The sequence below is a fragment of the Homo sapiens genome, chromosome 14 (genome assembly GCF_000001405.40).
Source record: "Homo sapiens chromosome 14, GRCh38.p14 Primary Assembly".
Taxonomy (NCBI): Eukaryota; Metazoa; Chordata; class Mammalia; order Primates; family Hominidae; genus Homo; species Homo sapiens.
In genome coordinates this window covers 88,423,204-88,442,192 of record NC_000014.9, presented here as the reverse complement: position 1 = coordinate 88,442,192, position 18,989 = coordinate 88,423,204, and the positions used below count along the sequence as shown (strand labels likewise).

Below are 18,989 nucleotides of genomic sequence, written 5' to 3'. Positions count from 1 at the left end.
AACAAACAAACAAACAAACAGGCATATAGACCAAAGGAATGGAATAAACAACCCAGAAATGTAGCCACATATTTGCAGTCAGCTGACTGTCAACAAAGCTATTCAACAAATGGTGCTGGGACAATTGGTAAGCCACGTGTAGAAGAATGAAACTCGATCCTCATCTCTCACCTTATGGAAAAATCAACTCAAGATGGATCAAAGACTTAAATCTAAGACCTGAAACTATAAAAATTCTAGAATATAACATCAGAAAAGCCTTTCTAGACACTGGCTTAGGCAAAGTGTTCATGACCAAGAACCCAAACGCAAATGCATCAAAAACAGAGATAAACAGATGATACTTAGGTAAACTAAAATGATTCTGCATAGCAAAAGAAATAATCAGTAAACAGACAACCCACAGAGTGAAGAAAATCTTTGCAATCTATACATCTGACAAAGGACTAATATCCAGAATCTACAAGTAACTCAAACAAATCAGCAAGAAACAAAAACAATCCCATCAACAATGGGCTAAGGACATGAATAGACAATTCTCAAAAGAAGATATACAAATAGCCAATAAACATATGAAAAAATGTTCAACATCACTAATTATCAAGGAACTGCAAATCAAAACCACAACGCGATACCACCTTACTGTTCCAAGAATGGCCATAATCAAAAAATAAAAAAATAGTAGATATTGGTGTGGATGTGGTGAACAGGGAACACTTTTACACTGTTAGTGGGAATGTATACTAGTGCAACCACTATGGAAAACAGTGTGGAGATTCCTTAAAGAACTAAAGGTAGATCTACCATTTGATCCAGCAATCCCACTCCTGGGTATCTACCCAGAGGAAAAGAAGTCATTATACAAAAAAGATAACTTGCACACGCATGTTTATAGGAGTACAATTCACAATTGCAAAAATATGGAACCAGCCCATATGCCCATCGATCAACAAGTGGATAATGAAAATGTGATGTGTGTATATATATACACACACACACACACAATTGAATACTACTCAGCCATAAAAAGGAATGAAATAATGGCATTTGCAGCAACCTAGATGGAATTGGAGACCATTATTCTAAGTGAAGTAACTCAGGAATGGAAAACCAAACATTGTATGTTCTCACTCATAAGTGGGAGCTAAGCTATGAGGATGCAAAGGCATAAGAATAATACAATGGACTTTGGGGGCTGAGGGGAAAGGGTAGGCGGGGAGTGAGGGATAAAAGACTACACATTGGGTACAATGTACACTGCTTAGGTGCTGGGTGCACCAAAATCTCAGAAGTCACCAATGAAGAACTTATTCATGTAACCAAACATCACCTGTTCCCAAAATCCTACTGAAATAAAAAATAAATAGCAAAAAAAAAAGTAGCAGCAGCCTGTATTTATCATGCAAGCTCATTTAATTCTTGTATTCTATGATAAAGGCTCTATAATTACCCCTCTCCAAGATATGAGAAAACACACACAGGCTCAGTAACCCAGCTCAAAGTCACAGCTCAAAAGGAATCAAATCCAGGCAACCTGGCTCAGAAGACACACTCGCATTCATCATGCCTCTCAGCCTCAGTTGATGGGCTGTGTGAGAAGGAAGAGGGGAAGATATAAAGATGTTGCTTGATGCTGTAACAAGATGTCTTAGGGATAAAAAAAGATGCTGCTAGAAGAGTTTAAGTGCTGTTTCCCAAACTTACCACCCACATCCTACCTTCATACTATAATACTTTTGCCACATTCAAGAACCATTTTTAATATTTCTTTAAATCAACTCACCTTTTAAAACTTAAAGGGAAACTAAAGGATAACAACAAATTGTCCTAATAGGTATCCAAATTAGGATGGGTCATGGCCCCAGAGACAAGAAGCTGTACCCAGAGTTAGAGCATGAAGACTGAATGTCAAATAGGGCAGGTCTGGGGCTTGGACCAAAGTGTTGGAGAACAGCAGCCAGGAGATAGTTTCTGAGAATGCCTCCGGAAAGACAGATGGTAGCTCCAGCCAAGGAAGGAAAATTTGGGCCAGGCCAGTAGGTCTGGGGTAGTTACATGGGGAATGGGAAGAGGGGGTTTGTGAAAGAGTGAGGCTGGGACTGAAGAAAGGAACCCTGGGGCTGAGGAACAACAGAACCCAAGAAGCAACTAGAGGGGTAAAGATCTAACAGATGGGGAGACCCAGGCTGGGGACCAAGAATAGAGCCAAGGTTATTTCAGGAGGTTTAAGAGGACTGCAAGAGGGGATAGACGGTGTTGCTTACAGGGTTAAAGGGAAGAAGTCCAGAGGTGAGGGCTGAGGGGAAGGTGTGCCAAAAAAGGGTTGTAGCAGGGTGAGTTGGGGATTCCGACAGTGGAGGTGAAAAGTGGGTTGGGTGCTCAGTCCCACCATATTGTGCTTTGCAGGTTGTACCTGTGTCTTATCCTGAAGACAGTGGTGATGGTCAGCATCCCATGAATGAGATGGACCTGTCATCCACATACCACTAAAATCAACTCTCAGGTCTCCAGTGGTAAGTACCACCCTTTGGGAAACACTGCTATGGCCAAAGGATGATAAAAACCCGAGTTAAAGAACAGGATACTTGGAAGTCACTGTTAAGTTTTTAGAAGAATACCTGGGTTGTATTTTTTTAAATATAAAATTAAAATATAGCTTATAAAAACAAAATGGGTTATTGTTTTTATCCTCCACAGTATCTAGGCATGAAACTTTGTACATAATGGGCACACAAATATTCAATTATATTATTGTAAATAGTTAAAAAGGTATAATTAGAGATGAATCTGCTGGGCCATGTTCTAATAGTAAGGGTCTCATTCATGAGCTACAAGGGTAGGAGAGGGCTTCAGACAGGTCTGACTAAATGTTTGCACTCACAACAAGAGACAACATCTCAGCCAGCTGACAGAATTCCCTGGGTCACTGACAACTGAAAGGTCCTTGAGGCTTTAGATATTGCAGGAAAAGTGAGAAAAACAAAATTAAAGATATTGCAGACAAGGTCCAACGCTTCAAGACTCACACCAGATCATAAACCATTTCCCATAGCCTACAAAACCGCTTATGTCTGGGTAAAATATGTTCCTCTGAAAATATAGGTAAAATATGTTTTCCTCTGAAAAGTGATTTTAGAAATTGTGGCCAGCAGGTCCTCAGATGACCCCAGTGATTCCTGTGTTCTGGCATTCACACCCTTGTATATATTCCCAACCCTTAAGTGTGGGCAAGACCTGTGACTTGCTTCTACCCAAAAGAACACGGTAAAGGTGATAGAAAGTCACTCCTGTGATTATGTTACATTATATAAGACTCCATCTTGTTAGCAGAATCTCTCTGGTTTTCCTGATATCCTTAAAAAAGCAAGCAGCCACGTTATAATTTCCCTAAGGAAAGGGCCAAGTGGCAGAGAACTATAGGCAGCCTCTAGCCACTGGTCAGCAAGACAACGAAGCCCTCAAATCTATAACTGCAAGGAGGATAATTCTGCCAACAAGCCTCTTAATGAAAACATGGCCCCAGCCACTGCCTTGATTGTGGGGTAGCCTTGTGAGACCCAGGACAGAGGACCCAACTAAGCTGTGCCTACACTCCTGATCCACAAAACTGTGGGATAAATAATAAATGTGTGGCACATTAGGCCGCTAGGTTTCTGGTAACTTATTATTGCAGCACAGAAAACCAATAGAGAAATCTTATACATACATTTTAAAAAAGGAAGAAAAGTAATATTGAGTTACTGGCCATTTGAGGTATTTATTAATGAAGATTAAACATCCAAAGGGCAGTCCTCAATGCTCATTTCCATGATTTTAAGAGTTGATAACTCCATGTCATGATTATTGTCGCCTTTGACACTGGAGAACTGAACAGATTGGGAGGGTGATGTGTTAAGACCACATAATCCATTTGAAATCTCAACCTTTTCAGGGTCACTATCACCTTCAATGACATTCACAGAAGTTTCCCGATCTGTTAAACTGTCTGAAATACTTGGATGATTTTCATCCAAAGTTGAAGTTTCAAGATTTGTTTCATCATTCACCTGTTGAATTATAACCCCTTCTGAATGCTTTGATTTATAAATAGGCATGAAAAATTCAGTTGGTGAAGGGAATATCTCGTTCTCATCCTTTGGTGCCGACAATAACATATCCAAAGCCTTTTGGTATTGTTGACGTTCCTGCTGAATTGTTACTTCACTTTCATTTTTTAATTCATTTGGTTCTGAATTCCCAGCCTTTTCAAAATCAAATACATTCAACATATCAACATCATTTTGCTTTACCGAGTTTTCCTCCGATGTGCAGCCTAAGTCTACTTTCAGGACATGCAGCAGGTGGCGCATTTTTTCCTAGGATTAAGAAAAGATGAGACTAATTACATTAATTGAGTCAAATTAAATTTTGACTGCAGTGCTGAAAATCTCACAGGATTAATACTTTTCCTTTCACTTCTCCCACCACCACCCTCAAAAAAGTTCAAGGGAAAAAAAAAGCACTTGCTTTTAATGTATTGTTTGAAGGTATGAAAAAAACCATACAATTATTTTTACATTATAATTTTTCTAATGAAGTTATAAGGAAAGACAAACCTCCTCCAAATGTTTATTTTGTTTTATATGTCGCTCGAACAGTCGTTCTAAAAACCTACAAATGATAAACAAAAATGTTAATGTCTCAAAATCAGAAAATCATCTAAATATAAACTAGCTACGTAACACTGAAACTACAAAGGTTGAAAAATGTTTTTCAGATTTTTCTTTTTCTCTGTAAAGCTGAAGACTAATCCTTTCCTGTTCTAAGTTCTTCCATTATGCATTTGCTTCACATTACATATTTCTGAAAGACTGTATGCTACTTTTATTTCTTTGAATAAAATTCTCCTTTTTCTCACCCCACCACCAAAAAGCTGTTTTTCTCTCACAGACATATGCAAACACCCAAAGCCTCTCTACCCCGATATTTACACACACACACACACACACAACCAAACCCTAAAGAAAAACCTCTTACAGAGATATTTTATAATCCTTCCTAAATTATACTTTTAAAAATTCCTATATTAAAGTATAAAACACCAATGAACAAAATGGAAAAGGACACCAAAAAAAAAAAAGGAAAAATATTCCAAATTCATGGATTGGAAGAATCAATATTGTTAAAATGTCCACACCACCCAAAGCAATCTACAGAGTCAATGCAATCCCTATCAAAATACCAGTGACATTATTCACAGAAATAGAAAAAAAAATCCTAAAATGTACATGAAACTACAAAAGACCCAGAATAGCCAAAGCTATCCTAAGTAAAAAGAACAAAACTGGTGGAATCATGTTACCTGACTTCAAATTACAGTACAGAGCTACAGTAACCAAAACAGCATGGTCAGGCATAAAAACAGACACAGACCAATGGAACAGAATAGAGAACTCAGAAACAAATCCACACACCTATAGTGAACTCATTTTTGACAAAGTTGCCAAGAACATACATACACTGGGGAAAAGGCAGTCTCTTCAATAAATGGTAATGGGAAAACTGGATACCCATATGCAAAAGAATGAAACTAGACCCCTATCTCTCACCACATACAAAAATCAAATCAAAATAGATGAAAGGCTTAAATATAAGTTCTGAAACTATGGAACTACTAAATGAAAACATTGAGGGAAAATCTCTAGGACACTGGTCTGGCAAAGACTTCTTGAGTAATATCCCACAAGCACAGGCAACCAAAGCAAACATGGACAAATGGGATCACAAATTAAAAAGCTTCCACACAGCAAAGGATATAACCAACAAAGTGAAGAGACAATCCACAGAATGGGAGAAAATATTTGCAAACTACCCCTCTGACAAGGAATTAATAACCAGAATATATAAGGAGCTCAAACAACTATTTACTATTAGATTTATAGGGAAAAATCTAATAACCCAATCAAAAAATGGGCAAAAGATTTGAATAGACAATTCTCAAAAGACATACGAATTGTAGACAGGAATATGAAAAGGTATTCCACACATCACTGATCATCAGAGGAATGCAAATCAAAACTACAATGAGGTATCATCTCACTCCAGTTAAAATGGCTTATATGCAAAAACAAGCAATAATAAATGCTGGTGAGGATGTGGAGAAAAGGGAATCCTTGCACACTGTTGGTAAGAATGTAAACTATTAGTTCAACCACTATGGAGAACAGTTTGGAGGTCCCTCAAAAAACTAGAAATTGAGCTACCATATGTTCCAGCAATCCCAAAAGGAAGTAAGTCAGGATATCGAAGAGATACCTGCACTCTTATGTTTGTCGTAGCACTGTTTATGACAGCTAAGATTTGGAAGCAACTAAGTGTCCATTAACAAATGAATGGATAAAAAAACGTAGTACATATACACCATGGAGTACTATTCAGCCATTAAAAAAGTGAGATCCTGTCATCTGCAACAATATGGACGGAACTGGAGATCATTATATTAAGTGAAATGAGCCTGGCACAGAAAGACAAACATTGCATTCTCCCACGTATTTGTGGGATCTAAAAATCAAAACAATTGAACTCATGGGCATAGAGAGTAGAAGGATGGTTAACAGAGGCTGGGAAGGGTAGTAGAGGGCTGCAGGTTAAGTGGGGTAGTTAATGGGTACAAAAACATAGAAAGAATGAATAAGACCATTTGACAGCACAACAGGGTGACTACAGTCAATAGTAACTTAATTGTACATTTAAAATAACTTAGAGAATGTAATCTGATCGTTTGTAACTCAAAGGATAAATGCTTGAGAGGATGGATACCCCACTCTCCGTGACGTTCTTATTTCACAATGCTTGCCTGTATCAAAACATCTCATGTACCCCTTAAATATACATACCTACTGTGTACCTCACAAAATTTTAAAAAATAATTAAAAAATTTAAAAACTCCCACTGATGGTAAATCCACATAATAATTTAAAAGTTATCACCTATTAATTTCCATTAAGTGCTACTGTGCTAGTCATAATAATCATTTTACCTCTAGTTCTGACCAATGTAGGGAGGGAAAGATAGTGTAAAAACCATTTTAAAGACGAGAAAGCCACATCTCTAAGATGATAATTTCCTCTCCCCTGAGGTCAAAAGCCTTTAGGAGAATTTAACCCAGATGTGTCTGGCTCCACAGAATTTCTTCATTCTAGAACACCATGCTCACCTCTCTATCACAGGAATGTATCAACAGTTTCTTAAAAAACAACTAATTTCCTTTGTTATCATTTGCTAGCATCAGTGAAGTTATGAACCAACCTCAGAGTTAGTAGTTCTGAATTATTTCACAATTTTTTATTAAAACCCAAGAAATCTGTATTCTACTTTTTACAACTATTGTTAACATTTTAGAATATTCACTACTAGGCATTTTTTCTATTCATTTGTATTTCTTTACCAACTTGTAATTAAACAATACATACTATTTGGGTATCTATCTTGTTTTTTCTTTTTTCTTTTTCTTTTTTTTTTTTTTTCTGAGACAGAGTCTCACTCTGTCGCCCAAGATGGAGTGCGGTGGCGCGATCTCAGCTCACTGCAACCTCCGCCTTGCGGGGTTCAAGCGATTCTCCTGCCTCACCCTCCTGAGTAGCTGGGACTACAGGCGCGCACCACCACGCCCAGCTAATTTTTGTATTTTTAGTAGAGATGAGGTTTCACCATATTGGCCAGGCTGGTGTTGAACTCCTGACCTTGTGATCCGCCCACCTTAGCCTCCCAAAGTGCTGGGATTACTGGTGTGAGCCACTGCGCCCAGCCCTATTTTGTTTTTTCTAATCAATGACATATATCTTTAACATCTTTCTATATCTGTAAATTCACTTCAACATCATTTTTAATCCCTAAACAGACCTCACATTTCATATATATTCCACAGTTTATTCAACCAAACATTTACCATTAAACATTTAGGTTGATTCTGGTTTTTGGTACAATTATAAAAATGCTGTAATAAACAGTCTTATAATCTTGAGAAAAACATAAAATTTTAAGCATAAATACATATGATTTTGTATGTGTACTTTTTTTCTTGTGGTGGCAAAAACTAACCAAACTTATCATCTTAACCATTTTTAAGTGCACGATTCAGCAGTGTTAGGTATATTCATATTGTGATACAGATTGCCAAAACTTTTCATTATGTATCCTGAAACTCTTTACCCATATTATGCAAATATTATTAACCAACTTTTTAAAATGAAAGGGGTCAACAGAATTAATGCCAAAAATCTTAGGTCTTTTTGATATGCCTTTTTATACCAATAATGAAAATGTTTGCTTTAATTTTTTAAAAAACTTGATGTAGAGGATAGAAATAATTTATTAAAAATGTCTATGCTTGGCATATTATTATGACAGAGAAAGCAAGTAGTATACATAATAGGGTCCTAGGTTACATAACACAAAGTAGAGCTCAGTGCTCAATGAATCTTAGATACATAAATGTTCAAGCAAAATTCAGGACACACAGTTTCCTTAAGCTATGCAATAGCTAATCTGGTTTTGCAAACTTTCCATTTAACTTACAGCGTGCAAACCTAGCTCTTAATTTGTTCTCATTTTACTAGATCTAATACTAATAATGGTTGCACCAAAAATGCTTGCTTTTGATTCTCATGACAATTTTAGGTAGTAAAATGGGATTATGGAGCTTTGCAAATAAGTGATAAAGATCTTCCTTCACTAGTCACTTATAACTCAAGGGATATAATATTAAAATGAATAAAAGCTCTATTCTTTAATTCTCCCAAGTGGTGAACTTCCCCTAGAGTATGAATTAAACATTCTTTACAACTTGCTATCAATTATAATAATAAGTTTCCAAGAAAGCAATATATTTTTTCATTTCCTAATATGGGAAAATAACTTTAAAATTTTAACATCATATGAAGAAATATGAAGAATATTTAATGTACTCCTGAATTAACATAACACCATTAAAAAAACTAACCTGTTTGAAAATAAACCAAGTTTCAAAATTTCATCTGTTACATCTTCAATGAAACTCAGATACAACAGTTCTTCTTCACTGTAAAAGGAAGGCAATATATAGCATAAAAATTATTCCTTACTTATTCTGAAAACTGTAAGAAACATTAGTACCTAATTAGAAATATCTATCTCTACCATTACCAATGTACTTCTATCTCATATTACTAAGGGGAATATTACAAAACAAACATGTCTACCTTCTCAAATTATGCAAGGATAAATATTTACTAAAGGTGATGACCTAATAGAGTAAAATTTCACAGATATCTGCAACATCCATAGCAGTAAAAAACAAGCAGAATTAAACAACACAAAAAGAAAGCAACGAAGGACAAGGCGCAATCAAATGCAATCCACTGGGAGCAAGCACTCCCGAGGAATGTTTTAAATTTCCTCTTGCTCCTGACCAGGTCCAGCAGCAGAGGTGCAAGTCCCTCTGCAAAGCATTTGCAAGAAGGAAGAGGAAAGTTGTCCAGAGAAGCAGGAGCTTCAACTAAGAAGTCCTCTCCTAGCCCTAGGCCAGCATCTTGTTTTAAGGTTGAGAAATTTACTAAGCAGAAAAATTTATTTTTTCTCTCAAAACGTTTGGAGACGAAAAATTCTCATAGGAAAATTTGTGAACATAAATCTTGTGGTAATTTTTAACTACTTGAACACACTTCTCTATTATAACTATATTTTAGTAGCTATTACAAGAAAATTAGGATATTATTGTACGTTTGATTTTAATTAGCTGAAATTAGTGAATTAATACCAAATGTAAGTAGCAAGTAACTAAATTACTGAATAAGCAAATATAAGGGAAGAGTTAATAAGCAAATCAAATAATAGATTTAAATGTTTAATAAAAAGTTACACTTTCAAACTGATTCACAGGGTCTTGCTTATTTAAAAACAGCATATTTGAAAATAAATAAAATTTTATAAATTATTTTCCCTAAAAAGAGTAACTTAATTAAAACAACATTAAAATCTACAAATAAAATATCTGCAAAGAACTGCTGAGGTTAGAAACCTCTGGAAAGAGTATCCTGAACTATTAAAAGTCTGCATTTCTCTAAAACTCTTCTTTATTATTTTATTATTTTTACTTAAAAAATAAGTAAGAATCATGGATACTGATTATTAAAAAGTATCAGGTAATACCTGGGGACAAATTTCTACTGGAGATAAAAATGACGTGATTGATAATTATTCCAGAAAGTTGTTATTATTTCTCAAAAAAATTCGAGAAAATTATTCAGGTCAGTTTCTCAAATTTAGTATGTATTATACGATTGATATCCCAAAGCTGGTTGTAAGAGAGATTAGTGTTCACAGATGAATGGATAAAGAAAATGTATATATACACCATGAAATACTATTCAGCCATAAAAACAAATAAAATCATGTCATTTGTGGCAACATGGATGGAACATGGATGGATGCTGGTGAAATAAGCCAGCAACAGAAAGTTAAACATCGCATGTTCTCACTCATATGTGGAAGCTAAAAACAGTTGATTTCATAGAAGTAGAAAGTAGAACAGAAGGTACTGGAGGCTGGGAAGGGTAGACGGGAATGAGGGACAAGCTGAGATTTGTTACAAGATACAAAATTATAGCTAGATAGGAGGAGTAAGTTCTAGTGTTCTATACCACTATAGGATGACTACCATGGTTAACAATAATACATAGTTTCAAATAGCTAGAAGAAGGATACTCAATGTTTCCAACACAAAGAAATGATAAAATGTTCGAGATGATGGATATGCTAATTAAACTGTTCTAATCACTGTACAGTATATGTATCAAAATATCACTAGGTACTCCATGAATATGTACATTTATTACTTGCCAGTTTTAAAAAAAGAGATTATTGTTCAATCCTGACTTATTTAATATGGTTTCTTTGATTCTTAATCCTTGATTCCACTATGCAAAACGAAGACTTAAAAAAGATCTTACTCAGAGTAGATTTTACGAGTTGAAGGGGGCTTCAGGGAATACTGACACATTGCCCTAGAAAGAGGAAGTTAAAGTAGTTGAGCAAAACAGTGGTTGGCATACAATAAGTACTCAATAACATTGTATATTAGTACACACTGAATAGCCCTTATCTTAGATGTTTGGAACCAGAAGTGTTTCAGAATTTGGATTTTGGAATATTTCCATTATATACTTAGTAGTTGAGCATCTCAATCCAAAAATCTGAAATCCAAAAATGTTCCAATGAGCATTTCCTTTGGGCATCATGTCGGATTTTGGAGTATGGTGAATTACAGATTTTCAAATTTGGGATGCTCAACCTGTAATTACATGTTTCAGCAATTTTTAAAGCACTCTCATACCCATATCTAATTTAATCTTCTAAACAACCCAGTCAGGCATGTGGGCTGTGTATTATTTTTCCCATTTACTGATTAGTTCACCAAGGGTCAGAAAGGCTAAGTAACTTTCCAAGGTTAATGTTAGTAAGCAGCAAAGACAGGTTTTTAAACTACTTTTCTAGGTATAAATTCACAATTCTTTTTAAAACTACACTACGGCACTTCTCTAGTATAAACAATGACAATTTGACTAAGGTTAATGTATAGATAATGCTGGATATAGATACATTATTATGAAAATATTTTTAAAGGTGGTCATCATGATAAATTTTGTTATTATTCAGTTATGTTACCAATAATTAATTTGAAGCTAAATTTTATTCAGGTATACTCAACTATACTATTCTACTTTACTTCTTTTAGAAAGTATTAGAAAAGATAAATATTCCTTTCCTTAAGTCATTCTTAATATTCAATGAAGACTGGCTCAAGAGCAGTTATATTAATAAATAATAAGTTATATGTGTTGAAACATCAGAAATTTCAAAGACAGGGTAGTTAACAATGAACTCTCCATGGCCTTAGCAGGTGAGATCTCCCTAGCAAAGGCCTGAGGGAGAAGCCAGAGCCTGAGGGGATTGTGTGTACTTCCCTAGTGGTCTGCTACTAACACCTTATTCTTGCCCTCTTTTTAATCTCTACTCCTTCCTTTCTTCTACCCCTTCCACCGGCATTTCATATCCACTCTCTGACACTGGAAATACATTTGACAACTGAAACTATCGAGGCATCTTTTAGGTTTTCTACTACCTGCTAATTAATGTATAATATTCCTTAATTACTCAACATGATGAGTAGTTTTTAAAGAGTGCCTCCATTGCAGTGAGCTGAGACCGCACCACTGCACTCCAGCCTGGACAACAGAGAGAGACTGTCTCATAAATAAATAAATAAATAAATAAATAAATAAATAGTGTCTTCATATAGCACAGATTGGTCAAGCACTAGGATATGATGAATATTCAAAATCACAAATTATGACTCCTCAAATGGTAAAGCTCTTCAGTACTATTTGTGGCATGTAAACTGGTTAGCATCACTGCCAGAGGACTTGTCTTGGGGAAAATCATTTTTTTAATGAACAGTGATAATAAATAATACAAGTTGGTGTGGTTTTTTCCTTTACTAATGAATTAGCAAAATTAATTCATTTCAACTTTTACTAAGCACTTCAATTTGTAAAATTTCCTTGGTAAAACTAAAACTGTTATTGAATTACATAACACCAAAATAGATTGGAGCATGCAATTAAATAGTACTTATGCGGCAAATACTATATGTCTGTTATACAAGAAGGCAATTAAAGACAGTTGAAATTATTTCTCCTGTGAACTGTTTACCTTGGTGAGGAATGCTGAAGAGCATCATCCTTAATCTCATCCCATGTTGAGTCATGCCCTTCTAAAGGTAAAGGAGCTATTTTTTCTTTGGCATCATATGTCACACAATTAGATGCCTGGGGATGCAATAAAAAAAATATTTATTTTTGCTTAAAAATACATTACGAAAGCAGAATATAACACAGCAAATTTTAAGTGATTGAACAGAGATATCCAGTAGATAAAAATTATACAGTACGACAAAGAATATTTTAGAATAATTTTTCTATCCATCCAGCACTTTTTTCTTAAACTTAAAGATAAAATGACTTATTTCTTGTATTTTAATGAGTGGCATTTAAATGACATTAAGAAATTGCCACAAATAAACATATAAAGGGAAAAATGAAGCAAATTTTCAACTTTTAAGTAAGTTTGAGGGAACAAAATCTCATTATTCAGAAATTCAAATAGCTCATCTGTTTTAAATGCCAACATGTCAAATATGTAGAAGCAGTGGTAGCGCTGGCAGCATGAACAATAATATTAACAAACAAAAATAATGGCAGCTTACTTTTATAGACTCCTTACTACACACCACAAACTGTGCCAAGCATTTACTCACATCATTAGATTCAATCTTTACAATGACAATTTATGTATAGTGCTTTACAGTTTTAAAGGTGCTGTTAAAATATGGATCTACTGCAGTTAATACTCTACTGGCTTCTTCAAGTCAAGTACTGATGGCACTATCTATGGAATATGGGGACACACATTTTCTTGCAGGATTGTAAATAAATATTTTTTCATGTTTACGTAGTTATCTGCAAAGCTAACTCTTTCCAAAAATTTCAAGCTAGTAATAGCTATCATTTATTAAGCCCTTACCAGGCTAGGCACTTTGCCTACATCATTTACTCCTCCTAATAATCCTGCAAGTTAAGTACAGTTTTTCTAGATGAGGAAATTCAGCTCTCAGAGGATAAGTGATTTGTCCTTGGGCCTTAAGTGGCAGGGCCCTATGTCAAACAGCGATTAATAGCTGAGATGGAAAACTACCACCTTCTACCCATTTTCAGAAGGGAAGGGGGAAGTTGAGTATGATTATATTTTATTCTTCTATCTCTGGATCTGTGTTTGACATTTTAATAGACAAACCATTTTTATAAGCAACAAATTTAAGTCAGGACACAAGTGCAAGACTGAAACTCCAAAAATAAAACAATTTATCTCAAAATCAGACTCAAAGTTGCAATATTTTAAAAGAAATGATGCTAAGAATTCAAAATATAAACCCTGTAATAAACAGCTTCATGGTCTAGAAAAAGCAGAGGCAAACATAAGAGAATAACAGCTACTTATTCTTATAAAATGTATAATTTCCAATTATATAATATGTGGCAATTCTTTACAAAAAAAAAAAAGGTATAAAAACTCAACTTCTGCACTACTCTGCTGGCTCCTCTAGTAATCCAGGTCTGCATCTTTGAAAACAATACTTAAGGTATTTTACTGATCCTTCCATTTGTCCAGCCAGCCAACCAATCATCTAGGAAAGATGTTAGTAACAAATGACTTCCCAGATTTGGCAGGATCCACCTGGCCATTCAGAGAGAGCTATAACCATTTGTAAATAGGCAGACCTTCTGTATACTGGCTATATCATGTATGATAAGTGCCACCAACAGATTATTCTTCACAGTCTAAATAGCTGTACATATTCTATTTACTGAAAAACATCTGTAATTCAAATGTAGCAATACCAAAAGATTTCATACTTATTACCTGCTTTATGTTCATTTCTGAATCTGTCATGTTTTTAGTCTCAGCTGTCCCCAACTCAGATTTAAAGCTGTAATAATTTAAAATAAATAATTGTTAATCCTTCAAAATATAAGCACTGTGGTAACAAGGTTTACTGGCTAGAAAAAATAAACTCAAAAAGAATGAGACCCATCTATTCTTATAAAATACATAATTTTGAATTATTTGATTTTATTTGATTAAATATCTGCAGACTCATCTGATATCACTGTACTTATCTATATTCAAAGAAAAAAATACTAATCTTAAATTGTTTTTACTTTCTAAAACAACTAAAACCTACTGCCAGATAAATTGTTTATGTAATACTAGAAAAACAATCACAATCACAAATCTGCTAAATCTCAAAACTTGACAAGATTTGTTTTTTTCTTTAGTCATCTGGCAAACTTTTATTGAACATTCATCTTGTGCCAGGCACTACTGTATTTGAAAACATTATTGAGGCAAATTATACTTAATTTCTAGAAATTATCCCAATTTAAAATTATTCTTGGCAGTTGTTGCTATGAAGACTGGCCGGAATATCTGCAGGAAATGGAGCAGAGGGTTAGATGGATAAAGGGTTAGTTTCTTCCCCTCTATAGCCCATTGTTTCGCCACTTTTAACATGAATCAATATGCATATTTCCACAAATGCTGTCTGATGACCTATTTTAAGAATTCTCTGAAAGTATAATATTTAAAAACATACACAATTCTTGAACCACGCTTGAAATAATAAAATATGTAATTCATACGCATAAGGTGCTTGACCAGTTTAATAGCTATTTTTCAGCAATTACTCTGATAGTTCTAGTGATACATGGAAAAGGAAAAGTCACATTCATCTCATTCCAATCAAAAGGGCACTATCAGATCTTAAGGCTGGCAGCAGAAAACAAGGAATATTAATTCATTAATTTTCATTTAATTTCCTGAAGGATTTACTGTTGGTTGCTGATGTGTCATACCTTAATTCAGTCTGGGTTTCAGCTTCTATCCGTTGATCTGTAAAATCCTTTTTTCTTTTGGCAGGTGTATAATAGCGATACTGTGACAGGAAAGATTTTGCTTCTGTTTTTAAAGTGCGAGGAGTGAATGGCAATTGTTTGTTAGAAAAGAGTTCAGAATGTTTATCCAAAAGATCCCCACTGGGTGCTTTCGAAATGACTAACTGAAACCGGTGGGAATTTGGGAATGTGCTTCTGGGCCTTCTGCCATACAGGGCTCCAGAGCTCAGTTTCCGGGGCCCGGAGGCTGCATAATCCACACTGGACGGGGAGGAACTGGAGTTCTTCTCAGGACCATTTGTGATGACTTTACTGGATTTATGTAGACTTAGGTGTAGTCTCTCTGAAGAGGGTACTAGTGACCTTGCAAAGGATGAAAATCCATTCATTTCTTCTTTTAACATGTCATCCTCAATTTGCGGTTCGCCTGAGGGCTAAGAACATTCGATATGACAGTCATCAACTGCATTACGAATTCATGTAATTGGGGATTTTGAGATTATACATTAAAAAAATGATAGCCTCAAGGGTTTACAAAATTAACTGATATGTTCCTGAAGATGTTAATATTTTATCTGAAGTTCTAGTCAAGTATTTAAACTAAGATATTAACATTTAATTCCAAATATAAGTAATAGAGCAATCAATTTCCTTTCTGAAACGAAAAAAAGATGAATAACATATCTATATTTGGGATCTTCAACTTGCATATTAAGATTTATTGGGAGATGTCAGTTTTATCTGAAAGCTTCCACACAAATTGTGAGCACCAATGCCCTTCTCAACCACTATTAGTGACATCATCCTCACTGTCCTGTCTTGTCATTATTGGAGAGTGCAGTGTAAGCCATCCCTTTGTGATGTTAAGCCTTTAAAGAAACGAAAAGGAACTTCTCCTCATAATGTATGGAGCCCTGATTTAGGTAATTGATAATTTAAATATAATTAATAAATATTTATTCCATAATAATTTCATATATATTTCTCAACTTCTTTTCATTGGGGTGGGGGTAATACTATGAAAAGGGAGGCATTTTGACTTGCTCCATTTCTTTTTGGCTTTACTTTAGGAAAACCATTTCTACAGGTTATTTGTAAAGTCTAAAAACACAGATAGTATTTTATTGTTTTATAAACTGAAAATGTCTAAGAAGCTTTGCCTATGACTTCAGCCCTTACGGACACATCTGTATATCCTTTGCAAAACTCTGAGGCACTTTCATTAGGTAGAGGGGAAATTACATGGAGGTTACAGAAATTGAGGTTAAAAATCGCTAGGATTTAGCCAATTATATCTGTCTTATTACCTCATTGGGAGGAATAACAAGGGGAAGATGGACAAGTTGAGTAAGGAAAAAGGCTTCCTGTATGAAAGGTACTGCTCTTGACATTGAATAGAAGAGGAATAATAAGAACTTCTATCACTGCTACTAATATGTATGGTGTGCTTACTATGTGCAAGGTACTGTACTCATTTTCATGTATAGCTCATTTAATCCTAACATCAACTTCTGAGAGGTAGTACAATTATTACCCTATTTTGTAGATAAAAACACTGCTCTGAGGTGCAGTGTCTCACAGATTTGAACAGAGGCAGAGCCCATGTTCTTTGCCACTTTATCATATTGTCTACTTAAAAACTTATTTGAAAATTATATGATTTTAGATTTTTTTTACAGCATAAAAAATTTTAAACTGATTTTAACTCTTTTTCTGGGAACAAATAAGTCAGCTAACCTAAAGTGCTGATTTATCAAAGCAAAAAAATTGCAGATAACTGGACATTGTGACTACTATCTAAAATATGTCAAATCACCTTTCCTTTCCAACTGTTTTATAACCTTATTCCAAATACAAGACAACATTACTCAAAGCAAGTAAGTATGCTGGCATTAAATTTTGAGTCACTAGGGTACTATTTGGTAAATGACTTCAAGATGTTAGTTTTTATAAGTAGTCCTAAATGATACTCACACTACAGCTTATGTACCAGAAGAGTTTAGCTCTCAAAGAAGAAATTTCTAAGTACAGTCTAAAAATATCCTATAGGGCAATTAATTAATAAGCACAGGAATTATTTACACTTAGAAGAACAGCACAAACTGAGATCAGAGGAAGGAGAAAGAAATGCATAAGCCATTATGATTGCCTGTAAAGAAATGTTATCGGTAATGGTTATTTAATAAACAAAATGAAACACTGAAGAAAGTCTTTTTAAAAGGTAGAAGTATATGTTAAGCTATCTCTCTGAAATGGGATGGAAAAATTGCTTCTGAACTTATAGAAAGCATGAAACTTTTCCCATTTTTGTATCTTATAATTTCTACCTTGTATCCTATTTTTTCTTTCCTTGGAAACCAGTAGACTACAGTATAAAATCCACTGTACCAATCTGCATCTTGTTTCCTTTAGCTATGAATATCATGAAACTTGGATAAAGATATTTGTGCAGAATATATGTAACACACTGGTAGAATCCCAAAACATGAACAGCAGATCACTGTAAAGTTCTGAAATCAGAAAAGGGTTCATCAATTATGTGCCAATGGAGCAAAGAGTCTGGTGGTACCCTGAACACTCACTTTCTTAGGTTATTCTTAGTTTACGAGGTTTGTTGTGCACTGTTTCTGTGATTTCAAGATTTATGTAAAGTAATAACCATAACATAGTTTATATACTCATCATACTTTCATGTCAAGAATTTTACAATACAGAACTCAGTACTAAATCAATCTTTTTTAAGGATGTCAGAAGACATAACCTACAATAATTTTCCAATTGTCGGATTTTTAAACACTTGAAGAGTCAATTCAATTGTAGAATTGGATGGGTAGCGGGCGCCTGTAGTCCCAGCTACTCGGGAGGCTGAGGCAGGGGAATGGCGTGAACCCGGGAGGCGGAGCTTGCAGTGAGCCGAGATCGCGCCACTGCACTCCAGCCTGGGCGACAGAGCGAGACTCCGTCTCAAAAAAAAAAAAAAAAAAAAAAAAAAAATTATTTTAAAATCTAACATCTGTTTGCAAAAAAGTTTCAAATTATATTTTATAAAACAAATATAGCTCTTGATTTTCACTATTTTGTACTGTTTTTAAAAAGTTTCCCAGATTTTTTTTTTTTAATCTTACTTTGTTACCCAGGCTGGAGTGCAGTGGCCTGATCATGGCTCACTGCAGCCACGACCTCCTGGGCTCAATTAATCTGCCTGCCTCAGCCTCCTGAGTAGCTGGGACAACAGATACACACCATCATGCCTGGCTTTTTTTTTTTTCTTGTATTTTTTTTTTTTTTTTTGTAGAGATGGGGTTTTGCCATGTTGTCCAGGCTGGTCTCAAACTCCTGGGCTCAAGTGATCTGTCTGCCTCAGTCTCTCAAAGTGTTGGGATCACAGGTGTGAGCCACTGCTCCCGCCTCTTTTCTAGATTTATTCAGAAATAAAGCTCACACCCACATATTCACTTAATC

The 18,989-nt window shown here is 35.0% G+C and overlaps 1 protein-coding gene across 11 annotated transcripts in view; it reads right to left on the bottom strand.

The window, feature by feature from the left end:
- SPATA7 (spermatogenesis associated 7) overlaps positions 1–18,989 on the bottom strand; it is an 84,694-nt gene that overhangs the window by 28,158 nt on the left and 37,547 nt on the right. For 3 of the 11 annotated variants that reach the window (XM_047431581.1, XM_047431584.1, XM_047431582.1), the window contains 7 exons: positions 15,489–15,961; positions 14,497–14,563; positions 12,730–12,845; positions 10,968–11,021; positions 8,981–9,058; positions 4,596–4,650; positions 4,290–4,355 (listed from right to left, as the gene is read on the bottom strand). In XM_047431581.1, coding sequence (XP_047287537.1) covers positions 4,290–4,355; positions 4,596–4,650; positions 8,981–9,058; positions 10,968–11,021; positions 12,730–12,845; positions 14,497–14,563; positions 15,489–15,961 — 909 coding nt within the window. Of the gene's footprint in view, positions 1–3,732; positions 4,356–4,595; positions 4,651–8,980; positions 9,059–10,967; positions 11,022–12,729; positions 12,846–14,493; positions 14,564–15,488; positions 15,962–18,989 lie in introns of those variants that run through there. The other 8 variants (XM_005267851.2, XM_005267852.3, XM_011536952.2 and 5 more) reach the window with 3 other exon arrangements.